The sequence below is a fragment of the Homo sapiens genome, chromosome 22 (assembly GCF_000001405.40).
Source record: "Homo sapiens chromosome 22, GRCh38.p14 Primary Assembly".
NCBI classification, from domain to species: Eukaryota; Metazoa; Chordata; class Mammalia; order Primates; family Hominidae; genus Homo; species Homo sapiens.
Window position 1 is genome coordinate 38240738 of NC_000022.11, and position 18321 is coordinate 38259058.

At 51.3% G+C, this 18321-nt stretch overlaps 1 protein-coding gene across 18 annotated transcripts in view, besides 1 other annotated feature; it reads right to left on the reverse strand.

The window, feature by feature from the left end:
- TMEM184B (transmembrane protein 184B) overlaps positions 1 to 18321 on the reverse strand; it is a 56616-nt gene that overhangs the window by 24343 nt on the left and 13952 nt on the right. For 10 of the 18 annotated variants that reach the window (XM_047441319.1, XM_047441316.1, NM_012264.5 and 7 more), the window contains exons 2-3: positions 7033 to 7282; positions 5198 to 5363 (exon numbers count right to left, since the gene is read on the reverse strand). In XM_047441319.1, coding sequence (XP_047297275.1) covers positions 5198 to 5363; positions 7033 to 7224 — 358 coding nt within the window. In that variant the 5' untranslated portion in view covers positions 7225 to 7282. Of the gene's footprint in view, positions 1 to 5197; positions 5364 to 6047; positions 6149 to 7032; positions 7283 to 17296; positions 17362 to 18321 lie in introns of those variants that run through there. The other 8 variants (XM_011530115.4, XM_017028757.2, XM_017028759.2 and 5 more) reach the window with 6 other exon arrangements.
- Positions 3558 to 3667: a silencer, noted in NCBI's record as "silent region_13713". NCBI's record gives its function as "represses an Ori minimal core promoter by ATAC-STARR-seq in GM12878 lymphoblastoid cells {active_cell/tissue: GM12878}" and the evidence as "EXISTENCE:reporter gene assay evidence [ECO:0000049][PMID:35858748]".

An 18321-nucleotide genomic window follows, 5' to 3' on the forward strand; every position in this document is an offset into this window, starting at 1 on the left:
AAAAAAAAAAAAAAAAAAGCACAAGCAGGTCACACACACATACAGGCACTAGGGATCAAATACAGCAGACTTTCCAGAAATTACATCAGAATCTAAGACAGTGAAGACATGCCTTCAAAATTCAAAGGGAGAAGGATTTCCAACTTAGGATTGTATTTCCCTTGAATACCAATCAAATACAACAATATACTAAAGATATTTTCAGATTCCACAAAATAGACCTCCCATGCACTCTCTTTCTCAGGAAGCTGCTGGAAGACGTGCTCCAACCAGGCAGGGAGAGCAAACCATGAACAAGGAGGAAACAGCCTCCACGGAACAGGTGACTCAGCACAGGAGAAGCGGTTTCCAGGCTTATGGTGAATGAAAGAGCCAGGGCAACAGCTGAGCAGCGGGAGCCTGGAAAGCAGGCATTCCTGACTGCAGCACAGGGAGAAGGCACCAGGAGAAGCGTCACGGGGAAAATGGCAGAGCTCAGGGATTCCTGGATTGGCCTGGCTTTACTGAGAGCAGGGCTGGTTGGTTGGTTTGTTTTGTTTTGTTTTTTAAATTCAACTGAAGTATTTAGGAATAAACTAGTGATAGGTATATGTAGAAAACTCAGCAAACTAAAAGAAGGCAAGTAGTAACTGGAGCAAAAACAAAAAGTTACATAAGAAAAGGAAATGCATTGGATGCAGTGGCTCATGCCTATAATCCCGGCACTTTGGGAGGTCGAGGCGCAAGGATCATTTGAGCCCAGGAGTTCAAGACCACCCTGGGCAACACAGTGAGACCTCATCTCTACAAAAAAAAAAAAAAAAAAATTAGCGGGGCATGGTGGTGGCACACGCCTGTGTCTGTCAGAACAAGACCTGTCTCTTCAGTGCCAGGCACGGTGCTCATGCCTGTAATACCAGCACTTTGGGAGGCCGAGGCAGGTGGATCACAAGATCAGGAGATCGAGACCATCCTGGCTAACACCATGAAACCCTATCTCTACTAAAAATACAAAAAATTAGCCAGGTGTGGTGGCGGGCGCCTGTAGTCCCAGCTACTCAGGAGGCTGAGGCAGGAGAATGGCGTGAACCCAGGAGACAGAGTTTGCAGTGAGCCGAGGTGGCGTCACTGCACTCCGGCCTGGGTGACAGAGCGAGACTCCGTCTCAAAAAAAAAAAAAAAAAAAAAAAAGAACGAGACCTGTCTCTTAAACAAAGCCCTTCCATAGTAGGAAGTCACCATGTAACATCATATAAAACTGAAAAACAAACAACAACAAAAACCAGTACAAGCATATTTTAGGTCATTCTAGGAAGAAAACAGCTGAAAGAGTTGAAAGTACAGTGAACTTCAGAGTGAGGAGTTAGGGGAGTTTCGTGTTTCAACCATATGCCTATATTACTTTAATAAATGTAATTTTTTTTAGTGTTTTTTAAAAGCAGAATTTTGTTAACAAAGAAAAAAAGCAGGGCCAGGCTTGGTGGCTCACGCCTGTAATCCCAGCACTTTGGGAGGCCAAGGCGGGCGGATTGCCTGAGCTCAGGAGTTCAAGACCAGCCTAGGCAACACGGTGAAACCCCGTCTCTACTAAAATACAAAAAAAAAAAAAAAATTAGCCGGGCGTGAAGGCGTGTGCCTGTAGTCCCAGCTACTCGAGAGGCTGAGGCAGGAGAATTGCTTGAACCCAGGAGGAGGAGGTTGCAGTGAGCCAAGATTGCACCATTGCACTCCAGCCTGGGCGACAGAGCGAGACTCCGTCTCTAAAAAAAAAAGAAAAAAAGCAAATGACCGTAGTGCTCAGCTCTGAGCAGGTCCTCAGGAAGGGCTGGCTGGATCTGCAGAGTTCTCCAGCCCAGGTGAATCCCACTCCCTCCTGGGCCCTCCTGGCCCCTCTTGGGCACTGAGAAGGAAGGGTGAGAGGGGAAATACAAGGATCGGGGGGGACTGCCCCATCACTGACTCTGCAGAGGCAGCTGCAAGAGAGGGGCTAGGACCCAGAGCAGTGGTGCAGGGACAAGGCAAGGAGCAGGCCCCGCTGCCTCTGATGCTAAAAGCTGGTGAACTTGGCCAGGCACGGTGGCTCACATCTGTAATCCCACCACTTTGGGAGGCCAAGGCGGGCAGATCACAAGGTCAAGAGATCAAGACCATCCTGGCCAACATGGTGAAACCCCGTCTCTACTAAAAATACAAAAATTAGCTGGGCGTGGTAGCACACGCCTGTAGTCCCAGCTACTCGGGAGGCTGAGGCAGGGGAATCACTTGAACCTAGGAGGTGGAGAATGCAGTGAGCTGAGATTGCCCCACTGCACTCCAGCCTGGCAACGGTCTCAAAAAAAAAAAAAAAAAAAAGCTGGTGAACTCGGGGGCAGCCTGAACTTCACTGCAGCTGCTGTACTGTTTGTAAACTCCCTGGGAGAGGCCAGGCCAAAGGGATAATCGCGTTGCTAGGAGATGTGCTTCACAGGGTGGCCGACTTCCTGGAGGACCTCTCCCCGGGCAGGGAGGCAGGTCAGGGCAGGCGGGGCCTGAACAAAGAGGCTTCTGGAGTGAGGGGTGCCCGCCAGCCATCTGCTGCCGCCTCTGGGGCACGGAGTGAGAGTGAAGCGGAGGCTCCCCTGGCTGTGTGCCCCGCCTTCTGCCATGCGCCTGTCTTTGGGGTCCCGCCGAGAAGAGAGCCCACACTTGTCCCCCGACCACACAGGAGAGGCCACCTTGGCAGGGAACAGCTTTGTGCTTCTGAAGGAACAGGTGGGCAGAGGCTGCCCCTGGGTACCCATGCGAGGCTGGCAGCTGAATGGAAGTGGATTCTCAGCCCCACACTTCGCCAATTCCAGCCTTTATGGTGCCCCAGGGACCCAGAGGTTTCCCTGGAGACTTGGCTGCTTCCAGAAATATCAGACACCAGAGCCCCAGTTAAGCCCTGAGCAGGTCCCCATCTGGCCTCAGTATTCTCATCTGGAAGGACAGGATGGAACGCCAGCCTGCGAGGAGGGAGCATGGGATGTTACTGAGGCCCCACATGGAGGAATGCAAGGCACAGGGCAGGGGTTTGATTAAGTCCCTTATTCATCCAAAAGGGAGGAAGTAGGCATCTCCCATGGGCCCGGCTCTGTCTGGGCATGGCTGCACCCCATCCTGCTCTGGCAGGGCTAATCATGCTCAGGAAGATGGAACACGAAGCAAGGGAGCTGCAGACTGTGGTGGGGCCGAGGACCTGGATGGGTGCTGGGAGTGAGAGTGGCGGGGAACAGACGGATGGAAAGGAGGGACCCCACGCAGAGCAGAAGAGCTTCCCAGGCCGGGGACACAGCACGTATCAAGCCCTTGAGGCTGGGAAGCACCTGCCTGATGTGGCCGCAGTTGGGGGTGGGAAGGCAGAAATATGAAAGGCTGGGGTGCAATGGGCTCCTGTTGGGCGCCTCCATTTTCTTGCCAAACCTAAAGGCATTTCCTGTGCCCTATGAGTTCTCAGGGATACACAAGTTTCAACGTGGAGAGGAAGAGAGACTCCAGCTGCTTGGGGGATGAGCATGCTTCACTCCAATATCCACAGAGTGCAGGCCTGGGGCAGCACCCTCCCAGGTCAAGGAAACAGACAACTTCTGGGCATGGCCAGAGCTGCTCTGCCTGAGATTAGGAAAACCACATCCGGTCACTTTACCTAAAACCAGCAGCACAGGTGTGGGTAGGAGACAGGAAACCTCACACTCTGAGAATAGCATGGGTATCAATGTAGGGGTCTTTTTTTTTTTTTGAGACAGAGTTTCGCTCTTGTTGCCCAGGCTGGAGTGCAATGGCACGACCTCAGCTCACCACAACCTCTGCCTCCCAGGTTCAAGTGATTCTCCTGCCTCAGCCTCCTGAGTAGCTGGAATTACAGGCATGCACCATTATGCCCGGATAATTTTGTATTTTTAGTAGAGACGGGGTTTCTCCATGTTGGTCAGGCTGGTCTCGAACTCCCGACTTCAGGTGATCTGCCCGCCTCGGCCTCCCAAAGTAATGGGATTTCAGGCGTGAGCCACTGCACCCAGCCCAATGCAGGGGTCTTGAGGAACCCCTCCTCTCCATTCCTGCTGGCCTGTCTAGGGCAGACCTGGGCATTGCTGGCCTCTAACAGATGAGGAATGCCTGGGACCTGCCCAAGACAGGTCAGAGGCCAGCTCCCATGAGAGCAGCATCCTGGTCTCCTTGTGGTGACTGTTTAGGGGCCACAGCCTCCCGCAGGGCAGCAGGGGTGAGGCTGGCTTCTCCTCTTGGCAACCCAGCTCCTGGCCTGTGGTCGGAGCTCAGGATGGGAGCAGGTGATGTCTCCACTCCACATCCAGAACCAAGTCCCCGGAAGGAATCGAGTCTTCTTCCTGGGTGGCACAGTAGGGCACCCACTCGTGGGACAAAGCCCTCAGAATTAAGACCCATGGGGACAGAGCCCCAGCCCTGCCACTGACTTGCCAGGGATCCCTGGAAGGGTCCCTACCCAACTGCACCTGGGGCCACCTGGGGTCTCTACAAACAGACCACTTGCTTGCTGCCCCCACCCTGCCTGAGACGCCAGCATTGAGAAGCGAGACCCAGGGGGAGGGCCCTTGCTTCCAGGTACCTGCCTGAGACGCCAGCATTGAGAAGCGAGACCCAGGTGGAGGGCCCTTGCTTCCAGGTACCTGCCTGAGACGCCAGCATTGAGAAGCGAGACCCAGGGGGAGGGCCCTTGCTTCCAGGTACCTGCCTGAGACGCCAGCACTAAGAAGCGAGACCCAGGGGGAGGGCCCTTGCTTCCAGGTACCTGTCTGAGACGCCAGCACTAAGAAGCGAGACCCAGGGGGAGGGCCCTTGCTTCCAGGTACCTGCCTGAGACGCCAGCATTGAGAAGCGAGACCCAGGTGGAGGGCCCTTGCTTCCAGGTACCTGCCTGAGACGCCAGCATTGAGAAGCGAGACCCAGGTGGAGGGTCCTTGCTTCCAGGTACCTGCCTGAGACGCCAGCATTGAGAAGCGAGACCCAGGTGGAGGGCCCTTGCTTCCAGGTACCTGTGAGGTGAGACTCTAGCTGCATGTGCTGTTACCTGTCAATTTGGGACAGAAACCCTGTAGTAGGTAAAGCAGCAAGGGGTGTGTCAAGACAGTCCTCATGAAGCCCCTCGGGGAGGAATGTGGGGACAGGGGCTCCCAGCCCCCCAGCCCCCCGCCAGCCCTCCCCACTCCGTCCCCATCCTCACCCTCATAGCAGTCGCGGACGGTGCCGAAGTACACGTAGTACTGGTCGTTGGTGAAGAAGAGGAGGCTGAGCCAGGAGTCAAAGGCGTAGATGGGCACGATGAAGAGGATGCGCACGATGTAGCGCTGCTCGTTGGGGCAGCTGTAGCAGCGCAGGTGCATGTAGATCTGGGGGCAGAGGTGTGGGGTCAGCTGGGGACCCTCCTGTCCACAGGGACGGGAGGGCAGGTGGGCTTCCAGCTCTGCCACCGACTCATCTGTGACCCGATGCACGTGACCTACCCCTGAGCCTCAGAGCCCTGCTCTGCAAAATGCGGGATGACAGGACTTGCCTCCCAAGGCCATTGTGAGACTCAGACCAGCGGGCGTGCACAAGGCTCGTGGAGTGCATGCAGCAGTGCCTGTGGGGCAGTCTTGCAGGTGCAGGTGGCAGTGAGCCCACACCCCTGCCCACAGGAAGGCCAAGGATGAGGATGGAAATGCAGTTTCCACAAGCTCCCCAGGGGACCTCACGCACTGGCAGCTCTGGGCCATCAGTGTGTGCCCTTTCCCTCTACCTCACTCCGGCTGTGACTGTGGCAGCACTGAGCTAAATCACTGCCACCTGGGTTGCAGCCTTGCCCCGTCCCTTAACTTATGGCAAGACAGACGCAGCCCTCACGCTATGGCGGGTGGACACACTTCCTGGCCGAGTGGCTGCAGGGATGTCCTCAGGTTGTGCCTCCTCCTCCCATCTGGTAAACAGAGGCAGCACCACTGCTGCTCTGTTTAGTTAGGCAGCTACCTCACCAGGAAGTTAGGAGAATGAATGCTACTTTTAGGAAGCAGAGGAAAAAAGTAAAAGCTACACACAAATGCCAAGAGCTGCTCTACCACAGTCCTCAGTCCAGGCAGCCCCTGGGTGTCTCGTCCCAGCTCTCATGACATCACACTTGGCCCAGCCGAGCCCTGGGCTGGGGAGGAAAAGAACAAAATATTCTCCATCTGCTATGAGCCAAAAGCCTTGGACGCAAATGGGTTCTAAAAGGGATGGGGACACAGGGCAGCTGGCAAGGGGCTGACTAGGGAACACGAGCAGACTCACCCTGCCCCTCTCCACTGGACCACCTTCAAACCTCTGCAGCCACCAAGGCCCGTCCCAGCCCACATCAGCCTCCTCTGGGGCCACAAGTACAGGCAGACGGGAGACTTGACTTCTATCCCACTCTACCACCAACTTCCAAGTGACCAGGCTAGTTCCTCTCCCCCTCCCTCTCAGGCTCTCCATTTTCTCATCTGCAAAGCGGTCCCTGTCCCTGTGCTCCTGCAGTTCTAGGCTCTCTGTTGTTTAGGCTGGACACGAGACTAGTTCCAGCCAATGGAAGGTGAACAGAGTGACGAGTGTCACCTCTGGCTGGAGGTGGTTAAATATACAGAGTGCCTTCGCACATTCCCTGCTGCTAGGTGTCAGATGGGCGAGGCTTGAAGCCAGAGCCACACGTCGGAACCTGCGCTGCACTGGGCCCTGGGACGCAGGCAAGAAAGCGACTTCTTGGCGCACGCCTGTAGTCACAGCTACTCAGGAGGCTGAGGCAGGAGAATTGTTCCAACCCACGAGACAGAGGTTGCAGTGAGCCAAGATCGCACCACTGTACTCCAGCCTGGGTGACAGAGTGAGACTCTGTCTCAAAAAACAAACAAACAAACAAGAAGTAGACTTCTATCGAGGGAAGCCTCTGAGAACAGAGGGCTTACCTACTACTGCAGTGCAGCCTGGCCTAGCCTAGCCTAACCCACACTCTGTTCAGCCAGGAACCTTTCTGGACCTTTCTAGAGGCCCCTTGCCAGGCTTGGGTACCTGGTGGCATGTGATGAGCAGGGCCGTCCACACGAAGAAGCCAGAGATGGCCTGAGCGGCAGTTGTCATCAGGAACACAGGCTGCTCCATGGCAGTGGGGCTGCCCTCGGGGATCACGGAGACGCTGGGCGAGGCTGCTGCGGTCGTGGGCGACGCTGGATCCGGGGCCAGCACATCCCCCCTCACTGTCATGGTGCCTGGCAGCAGGAGGCTCCCTGAGGGAAACCTTTGCAGAAAGTGACAAGCTAGCCTAGAGAGAAGAAATTGCAATGTGAGTCTCCTCCCAGGGCAAGTGGCAGCATTGGAAAGAATCTTCCAGGTCTCTCCACCCACCTCCTGACCATGTCTGTATTGACCCCAACCATCACCCTGTCCCAGCCAGCCTCTCCCCTGGATTGATGCAACAGGCCCCTGACCAGTTTCTCTGCTTCTGCCCCTGCCTCTAATGACCAGTCCCCACTCAGCATGTTTGTGAGTCTTCCAAGGATTAGCCAGACCAGGCCGCCACTGCTCAAAACTCTCCAATAGCTCCCAGCTCCCCTAGAGTAAAAACCATAGTCCGTACCCAAGGACTCGATGGGACCTCCTGTCCTCTATGATCTCAGCTCCTACAGTTCCCACTTCCATCCTCAGCTGCAGCCACGCTGGCCTCTTTGCTGTTCCTTGAACATATTAAGCCTGCTTCTGCCACAGGGCCTTTGCACTGGCTGTCTCTGCTCAGTCAAATACCTCCCTCCCACCCTTCCTTTAGGTCTCTACCTTGACCACCATGAAAACATGTCAGCCTCTCCCAGGCTGGGCATGCCTGACTCCCTGCTTTCCTTTCTTTTCCTCCAGAGCACTCATTACATCGACACCACCCGACTAACTCGATTCACTCATGTATTTATTAACTGTTCCCCCCACCCCACCTAGAATGCAGGCCCCCTGGGGACAGCGGCTCTGTTTGGGACTATACAGGCAGCACTGGGAACCGTGGACACACAACAGAAATTCGGGAGCTTCCTGGTGGGCCTGAACATCTTTATACCCTGGAGCCAGTAAAACCACTTTACTGCTGAGGCCTCCTCCGAGGGCCTGTGTGCGTTCTTCGCCATTTCTCCCCCTTTCCTTAATGGCTGACCCACTCCCCATCATCCAGCTGTGCTGTTTTGGAGACTCTGTGGCTCCTCCCCAATCTGTGTACCTCTAAACTCTCATCTTTTAACCCAGCCCATGTGCCACCCCTCCTGAAAGCCTGCCTGCACACCTTCTCCAGTTCTGAGACTTCTAGCCATTCCGCATCCTCGAACACGCGGGTCTGTCACCACTCACATGTTCATCCTCCTGCCTACTCTTTGAGGCAAGATCTCACACCCCCAGCCCACTTACAATACTTAACTTGATTATTATTATTTTGACACAGGGTCTCGCTCTGTTGCCCAGGCTAGAGTGCAATGGTGCAATCTCGGCTCCCTGCGGCTTCCGCCTCCCGGGCTCAAGAATCCTCCTGCCTTAGCCTCCTGAGTAGCTGGGATTACAGGCGTGCGTCATCAAGCCTGGCTAATTTTCTAATTTTTTGTAGAGATGGGGGTCTCCCTATGCTGCCCAGGTTGGTCTTGAACTCCTGGCCTCAAGCAATTCTCCTGTCTCATCCTCCCAAAATGCTGGGATTATAGGCGTGAGTCACTGTGCCTGGCCTATCTACTGATTTTCACTGCTTGTTTCCAAAGATCGTGAGGTGCCTCACAGTGAAACAAAGAATAGTGGGTGGGGCCCTCATGAATGAGATTAGTGCCCTCATAAAAGGAACCCCAGAGAGCTGCCATGCCCCTTCTACCACATGAGGACACAGGGAGAAGGCACCGTCTCTGAGCCAAAAAGTGAGCCTTCTCCACACACTGAATCTGCCAGCACCTTGATCTTGGACTTCCCAGCCTCCAGAACTGTGAGGAAGGAGGCAGTCGATTTATGGGATTTTGTCATAGTGGCTCAAGAAGACTAAGGCAGGAGCCTGGCTGCACCCTCTACCCAAGCCCTGATGGGGCGGCCCTTTCAGTACAGCCACCTGCTGACAGGCTGGTCAGTGCCATCCAGCAAACACCTCTGCCCAAATCACCAACTCTGGCAATAACCTGCAATGCAACCAGAGAAACACCCGACAATTTTAAAAGATGCAAAGTGCAGTATGTAGGCACTGAGGAAAGAGCCTGGCTGGAGCGTGAGCACCAGCTCCCCCGCCAACCAGCCACGTGGGTTCCCTGCTCCAAAAATGAGCTCAGAGAATGAGCGAACACCAACCCCGACCGTCTCGGTCTGAACCCAGAGGTCAACCTAGATGATCTCATGGTCCCTTCCAAATTCGCAAGCTGGTATTCAAGTCAGAATATCCTGACACCAACGGAGGTTTCCCTGGGCCTTCCTGGGTGCGGCGGCCTGCAGCCTGGCCCCGCGATGCAGAGGATCCTGCGCCCGCTGTCTGTCTGCACTGCCCGCCTGCACCCCGGCTCCTCGCCAACGGCCGCAGCATCTCCGCCACCATGTCGGCTCTTAGCTGTAAGTGTGCACCCTAGGAGAGCCCTGTACATTTCTATTTTCCCACATATACATGATCTCTTAACACACCAATTGAGACACAAATCGAGACTAAAACTCAAAACTGGAGAAGGCGTCTATATAAAGAAATTCAAAAATGGAGAAGGTGTCTATATAAAGACTGGTGGCAAGCTTTGAAAAAGAGACACAGTGACAAGTCCAAGAATAGCTCCTGTAAGTATGGTTGCAAAACTGAAAACCAGTGCCAGAAATATTTCTTGAAAAAGACTGGGGTTGTAAATCATCATCTTTGTCTATCATCCCAAATTAAATGAATAAACATGGGGAATTGTGGGGGGACCAAAGGAAGTACAAATACGCTCAAATCTTCACCTTCCAAGCAAGGTGTGGGGGGATGTCGAAGGCTGTTTTGTTCATGACTAAGGGCGGTGTTGAGAAACCCCCAGCTTGGACTCCCAGGCAGAGGGGCAACCCCAGAGAGCAGACCCGAGCCAGGGCTGGGATGTGGGTGAAGGCTACAGGCCAGCTTCCTCCTGCGGCTCTGCCCACTCACGTGCCCATGCCCACTTGGCATTCAGGGCCCCTTCACGTTCTTCATATAGGTCGTTTATTTCACAAGAGGAAATGCACCCAGAGATGTGAGTGACTTACCCCCAAATCAGAGCCAGGACTCAAGGCCAGGTCCTATCAACACGTTGTCTCCTCACCTCCTACAAAGTGGGGGGACCTAGCTGAGCCACCCCTCCTGCTCCAGAGCCTCCTAACAAGACATGGCCATACCCTTCCTCCCATAGCCTCCAGACTCTTCTAGCAGGAGGGGAGGCAGGTCCCCCAGGGTGGAGGAGAAGCCACCATGGCTGGGAGTGTTTCCGCAGCCCAACCCATGCTGGCCACGTTTCTGCACCGAGGCCAATTCATAAACAACTTATTTTACTCTTGGGCAACCCCGGTGGTTTACAAAGCATTTCCCCAAACATTATCTCATGTATTTTCTCAAGGCAACTTTGAAGAAAGTAACATTATCTCCATCTTAGAGATGAGGAAAACGATGCAGAACTTGGTTTTACAGCCACCCAGGGTGGCAACAATTCAAGGGTTTTCATAATTCCCCAAAATACTTAAAGCCGTATTCTGGCTCATAGACGCATGGTCCCCAATACCCAAGAAAGCAGGTGCAGGCAGCTGCTTGAAGGCCCAGAGCTCGCCTTGCTCCCTGGACCCAAGGCAGCAGACGGAGGCTGTCAAACGTACTCCCAAGTCAGTGACCACAAGGCCAGACTCTGCAAACTGTTCACAGTGTGTTGGGGCTGGGGCAGGGTGGGCACTGGATTCTGACCCTTTCACACTCTGTACAGGCACTGACCGGGAAGCTGCCTGCCCAGGTCCCACAGGCAAGCAGGACGTTCACCTGGCACAGCCTGTGGACCTTGGGGAAGCAGGGGCAATGCCATCTGGTGCAGCCTCTTTACTCCCGTGGGGAAAGGGGTGGGGAAGGGCTCCATCCATGTCTCCCCTTTTCCAATGCAGTCCATGCAAACAGATGAGGCTCAGAATTCCAGCTGCTCTGGCAGGACCAGATCCAGATGATGCTGTTTTTTTTTTTTTTTGAGACAAGAGTCTTGCTCTGTTGCTCAGGCTGCAGTGCAATGACATGATCACAGCTCACTGCAGCCTTGACCTCCCTAGGCCCGAGTGATCCTCCCACCTCAGTCTCCCAAGCAGCTGGGACCACAGGCATGTGCCACCATGTCCAACAAATTTTTTTTTTTTTTTGAGACAGAGCTTCACTCTGTTGCCCAGACTGGAGTGCAGTAGCATGACCTTAGCTCATTACAACTTCTGCCTCCTGGGGTCAAGCCATCCTCCCACCTCAGCCTCCCAAGTAGCTGGGACTACAGGCATGAGCCACCATGCCCAGCTAATTTTTGTATTTTTTTGGAGAGATGGGGTTTTACCATGTTACTCACGCTGGTCTCGAGCTCCTGGGCTCAAGCGATCCTCCCATCTTGGCCTCCCAAAGTGCTGGGATTACAGGCGAGAGCCACCACAACTGTCTCCCATTATTTCCCTAATTGACCAAGTGTTAAACTTCTGCCAGGAACATGACAGAGGGCCCTGATGGAAGATGCTGAAATCATCTTTCTAACAAGTCCTGAGGCCTCTGGACTCCATGCCAGGCACCGGCAGACCCAGCCTCAGCCTTTAAGGTGCTCCAAGCCATTCTTCATGCCTTCTCTATGCCACAGGCAGGAGTGACCTGGAGGCCTCTTCCCCTTGCACTGCTGAGGTGAGTGTCCAGCACTACAGGAGCCTAGAGCAAGCATCGGGCTTGGGCAGGCTGGGGAGGGGGTCAGAGAAGGCTTCCATGTGGTGGGGACATAACCAGGCTTCTGCTGTGAGTCACCCTACAGGACTCCCACTAGACTCCACCACGTGCAACCTGCGCGGGTACTTCTCTCGGAGCCTCAGTTTCTTCATTATAACATTTCAGGGGAATTACATAATTAACAAGGGACAGTTCTAGGTTATAGAAGTCCCATTAATAAATGGAGAAAGGGCCCAGCAAGGTGCCTCACGCCTGTAATCCTAGCACTTTGGGAGGCCGAGCTGGGTGGATCACGAGGTCAGGAGATCGAGACCAACCTGGCTAACATGGTGAAACCCCATCTCTACTAAAAATACAAAAAATTAGCCGGGCCTGGTGGCAGGCGCCTGTAGTCCCAGCTACTGGGGAGGCTGAGGCAGGAGAATGGCGTGAACCCGGGAGGCAGAGCTTGCAGTGAGCCGAGATCGCGCCACTGCACTCCAGCCTGGGTGACAGAGCCAGACGCAGTCTCAAAAACTAGTAAATAAATAAATAAAAATAATAATGGGAGCCGCGGTGGCTCAGGCCGGTTGCCCTGGCACTCGGGGAGGTGAGGCTACACATTCGAGGCTAACCTGATCAACACTGATTAAAAAATAATAATAATAAAACAACATTGGTTGGGTGCGGTGGCGAAGACCTGTAATCTCAGCACTTTGGGAGGCCAAGGTGGGTGGATCACTTGAGGCTAGGAGTTCGAGACCAGCCAGGGCAACATAGCGAAACCCTGTCTCTACTAAAAATACAAAAATTAGCCAGACGTAGTGGCATGTGCCTGTAATCCCCAGCTACTTGGGAGGCTGAGGCGGGAGAATCACTTGAACCTGGGAGGTGGTGGTTGCAGTGAGCTAAGATCACACCACTGCACTCCAGCCTGGGCAACAGAGCAAGACTCCATCTCAAAAATAAATAAATAAATAAATAATAAAAAACCTTAACATAAACCCTTACACATATACAAAAATTAATTCAAAATAAATCACACATTTAAATGTAAAATGTAAAACTCTAAACCTTTTAGAAGACAGGAGAAAATATTTGAAACCTAGAGATGGCCAAGTGTTCTTAGACTTGACACCAAAAGCATGATCCATAAAAGGAAAAAATCGATAAACTGCAATATAAGAAAAGTAAAAACTTATGCACTATGAATAAACAAGCCACAGAGTGGAAGAATATATTTGCAAGTCACAGATCTGGTAAATGACTAGCATTGGGAATGTATGAAGAATGCTCAAAAAGCTCCATGGGCCAGGCGCGGTGGTTCACACCTGTAATCCCAGCACTTTGGGAGGCCAAGGTGGGCGGATCACCTGAGGTCAGGAGTTCGAGATCAGCCTGGCCAACATGGTGAAACCCTGTCTCTACTAAAAATAAAAAAATTAGCCAGGTGTGGTGGCTGGCGCCTGTAATCCCAGCTACTCAGGAGGCTGAGGCAGCAGAATTGCTTGAACCAGGAAGGCAGAGGTTGCAGTGAGCCAAGATCGTGCCATTGCACTCCCGCCCTTAGGGGACAGAGCAAGACTCTTGTCTCCAAAAAAAAAAAAAAAAAGCACCATGGTAAAAAGAAAACCAAACAATCCCACTTGAAAATAGGCAAAATACATGAACAGATATCTCAGTAAAGAAGAGATACACAGCAAATAAGTACATGGCGCAGTGGCTCATGCCTGTAATCCCAAAACTTTGAGGGGCTGAGGCAGGTGGATCACTTGAAGCCAGGAATTCAAGACCAGTCTGGCCAACATGGCGAAACCCTGTCTCTACTAAAAATACAAAAATTAGCCGGGTATGGTGGTACATGTCTGTAATCCCAGCTACTCGGGAGGCTGAGGCAGAACAATCGCTTGAACCCGGGAGGTGGAGCTTGCAGTGAGCTGAGATCACACCACCGCACTCCAGCCTGGGCGACAGAGCAAGACTCTGTCTCCAAAACAAACAAACAGGCAAACACAACAAAAGTTAAACATCATTAGCCATTAAGGAAATGCAAACTGAAAAACTGAAAACACCTTCACATCCCATACCTGGGTACCAAAAAATATATATCATATACCTATAAAATAAAAAATACTGACAATATCAAATGCTGGCAAGGATGCAGAGAAACCTGATCTCCCACACATTGCTGGTGGGAAGATAAAATGGTGCAGCCACCATGGAAAACAACTTTGGCACTTTCTTTTTTTTTTTTTTTTTTGAGACAGAGCCTTGGTCTGTCGCCCAGGCTGGAGTGCACTGGCACCATCTTGGCTCACTGCAACCTCTACCTCCCGGGTTCAAGCAATTCTCTGCCTCTGTCTCCTGAGTAGCTGGGATTACAGGTGCCCGCCACCATGGCCAGCTAATTTTTTTTATTTATTTATTTTTTTGAGACGGAGTCTCACTCTGTCGCCCCAGGCTGGAGGGGCAGTAGCACGATCCTGGCTCACTGCAACCTCCACCTCCCTGGTTCAAGCTATTCTCCTGCCTCAGCCTCCTGAGTAGGTGGGATTATAGGCGCGTGTCACCATGCCCAGCTAATTTTTGTATTTTTAGTAGAGACGGGGTTTCATCATGTTGGTCAGGCTGATCTTGAACTCCTGACCTTGTGATCCGCCCGCCTCAGCCTCCCAGAGTGCTGGGATTACAGGCGTGAGCCACCGCACCCGGCCTCATGGCCGGCTAATTTTTTTTGTATTTTTAGTAGTGACGGGGTTTCACCATATTGGCCAGGCTGGTCTTGAACTCCTGACCTTGTGATCCACCCACCTCAGCCTCCCAGAGTGCTGGGATTACAGGCGTGAGCCACCATGCCTGGCCCCGGCAGTTTCTTATAAAACTAACATGCATTTACTACACAACCCAGTAATCACTGTGGACATTTATTCTACAGGAATGAAAACGTATATTCACACAAAAGCCTGTACACAAATGTTCACGGCAGCCGTATCTGTAATCATCAAAATCTGGGAAGAACCCATGTACTTCAACAGGCAAAAAGTTAAACTCTGGTATATCCAGACCATGGAATAGTACCCAGCAAGAAAAAAGAACAAATTACTGATACACACAAGTGATCTGGATGGATCTCAGGGGTGTTACATTTTGTGAAACCAGCCAATCTCAAAAGGTCACATACTGCATGATCCATTTATGTAACATGCTCAAAATGACAAAGCTATAAAGATGGAGCATGGTGTAGTAGTTGGCAGAGGACAGTGACGATGATGGGTGGGGGTGTGTAATTTTAAAGGGTACCAGGGGAGTTCCTTCCAGGTGATGAAACAGTTTGTATCTTGATAGTGGTAGTGGTTACATGAATCTACATGTGATAAAATTGAAGAGAACTACACATACACCCTACATGAAAATGCAGAAAACTGAATAAGGTCTGTACTTCAGTTAATAGTACTGTTGGGCTGGGCATGGTGGCTCACGCCTGTAATCCCAGCACTTTGGGAGTCCAAGGCGGGTGGATCATCTGAGGTCGGGAGTTTGAGAACAGCTTGACCAACATGAAGAAACCCCGTCTCTACTAAAAATACAAAAATTAGCCCAGGGGACCTTTTTTTTTTTTTGGATTTGGAGTCTCACTCTGTCACCCAGGCCGGAGTGCAGTGGTGTGATCTTCAACTCACTGTAACCTCTGCCTCCCGGGTTCAAGCAATTCTCCTGCCTCAGCCTCCCAAGTAGCTGGGATTACAGGCACCCACCACCATGCCTGCCTAATTTTTGTATTTTTAGTAGAGACAGGTTTTCACCTTATTGGCCAGGCTGGTCTCTTGGACAGGGTGGTATCAAACTCCTGACCTCGTGATCCTCCCACCTCGGCCTCCCAAAGTGCTGGGATTACAGGCGTGAGCCACCATGCCCGGCCAACAATCCTTATTGATTGCTTTTCCACAAGATAACCAATAAATCTCTGATACAAACTGAGTCCCTCCCCATCTTACTACACATTTCATAGAAAAATCTGTTGTTCTGCTGTCTAAAGCTTTTTATTATGGAACATTTCAAACATACAAAACTGGAACAAATAGTGTAATGAATTTTTCCACCTCTCCATCACTGAGCTTTAACGGTTAGCAACACTGCGCAATCTTGTTGCATCTTTCCCTGTCCCCCAGATGTAATGTTAAATACTTCGGTGTGCATCTGTACTTGATAAAGACTTTTTAAACTTTCTATTTTGAAATAATCGTAGGTTCACAGGAAATTGCAAAAATAGAATCTAGGGTCCTGTATGCCCTTCACCCAGCTTCCTCAACGGGTGACGTCTAGTCTAGCTGTAGTACAGTATCAAAGCCTGGAAGTGGACATTAATAGTTTTTTTTTTTTTTTTTTTTTGAGATAGAGTTTCGCTCTTGTTGCCCAGGCTGGAGTGCAATGGCGCGATCTCGACTCACGGCAACCTCCACCTCCAGAATTCAAGTGATTCTCCTGCCTCAGCCTCCCAAGTAGCTGGTATTACTGGCATGCACCAAAACAATATGTCTGTCACTGACTTTAAAAAGAAAAAAAAAATCCTCTCATAGCTGAACTCCTAAAAAGCTACGTAACAGAATTTTCTAGTCCATTAAAAATTTTCCAAAGCATTTTAGTGGGTTTTGGACTCGCTTGTTAAGAATTTTAAAATAAAATACCTTCCATTTCGTTTACAAAAACGTGATTGGCATCAGGGAGGATGGAAATGTACCGGCCAAATTTCAACAAATCCTTTGCATACTCAGTGGACGGGATGGAAAAATGAGTAACCCGATTTAGAAAGAAAGCCAAGGATGCGTCTGCTCCGTGTGCAGCTTCCTGTCCCAGACAGGATCTTTTGCAGGGAAAGCAGCCATTAAAACCCAGTCTCTAAACAAGCCGAACGTGAAGCCAGCCAGACCTTCCAAACTCTCTCTCACTGATCACGAAAGCGCACGTTCCAAAAAATGACCCCGTGTATGAACCCAGGAGGTTTCTGTACCGTCAACAAAGTAAAAATTTTCTTTATTACATCTTTAGCTTGGCCTTTGGTTTCTGTTTTTGGTGTAGGTTTTATTACGTACACACTGAAACAGTAAAGTAATATACGTGTATACTTATTGTAACATACACTTATAATTACACCAATATCCACATATTGGGGGTGCATGTTCAAGAGGTTTTGTTCTGGTTTCTTTTTTACTGATAGGGCTGTGTGATCCAAGGAAGTTTGGAGAGCAGTGCTATAGTGATAGGCAAAGGCCCAAGGCTTCCTAATGGCTGCTGCTATTCCCCTCTCCTCTGCAATCTCTCTGCCTCTCTGTCCTTCCCCAGACAAGGCCCCCTGGCTCAGTTCCAGGCTGCAGATCAGACAGAAAACAAATTCAAGGACCCCCACCTCCCCCACATACAGCCTACCTGCCAGTGAGTGCAGTCTCCACACCTGTCTCTCATTCACACGCCACCCAGCAGGTGGCAAAGAGGCCAGGCCACGCAGTCTGCACTTTGTCCCAGGCTCTGAGACAGGGAACTGAGTTGGAACCTCAGCATTATCACCTAAGCTGGGCCTGAGGCAGGTGACTGGACCTCTCTGACTGTGTTTCTTAGGGAGAAAAGTCCAGGTGCACTGTCCTGTAGCTAAGGCTTTTGGACTAAATGGGTTTAAGAATTTAGAATTTTTCCAAATTTTTTTTTTTTTTTTTTTAGACTAAGTCTCACTCTGTCACCCAGACTGGAGTACAGAGGAACAATCTCGGCTCACTGCAACCTCCGCCTCCCAGGTTCAAGCGATTCTCCTGCCTCAGCCTTCCTAGTAGCTGGGATTACAGGCATAAGCCACATGCCCGGCTAATTTTTGTATTTTTAGTAGAGACAGAGTTTCACCATATTGGCCAGGCTGGTCTCGAACTCCTGACCTCAAGTGATCCACCAACCTCAGCCTCCCAAAGCTCTGGGATTATAGGCATGAGCCACCGTGCCCAGCCGAATTTTTCAGATTTTAGAAAGGATTATGCTGCTAGACACAGTGACACTCCTGGAAGGGTGGGTGCAACACCCCAAAAGCAAACATATAGTACTTTCATAGGAAAACATACTGTTAGTCACCCTAAGGAAGATAGTTTTAAAGGCCATAATTAGTATCACATCAATTCAGGTCAGATTTTTGCAGCAGAAATTAGTCTGCTGCAGACTTAGAAGAACCTTTGGGATTTCTGAGCGTTCTGAATTCTAGAACAGCAGAGAAGGGGATGTGGGCCTGGACCGTCTTCCAGAACTGTAGGGAGGCTGATGAGGAAGCAGACATCCAGTGTCGTTTATTTCTATGTTTATTTTCAACTGTAATGGTATCCCTCCTCCCAACCTGAAATCCACTGAGAATGTGGCAGGAGCTGGCCGTGGGACCCAAAGTCTCACTTCTCCCAAGACTGCCCCACCTCCCTCCT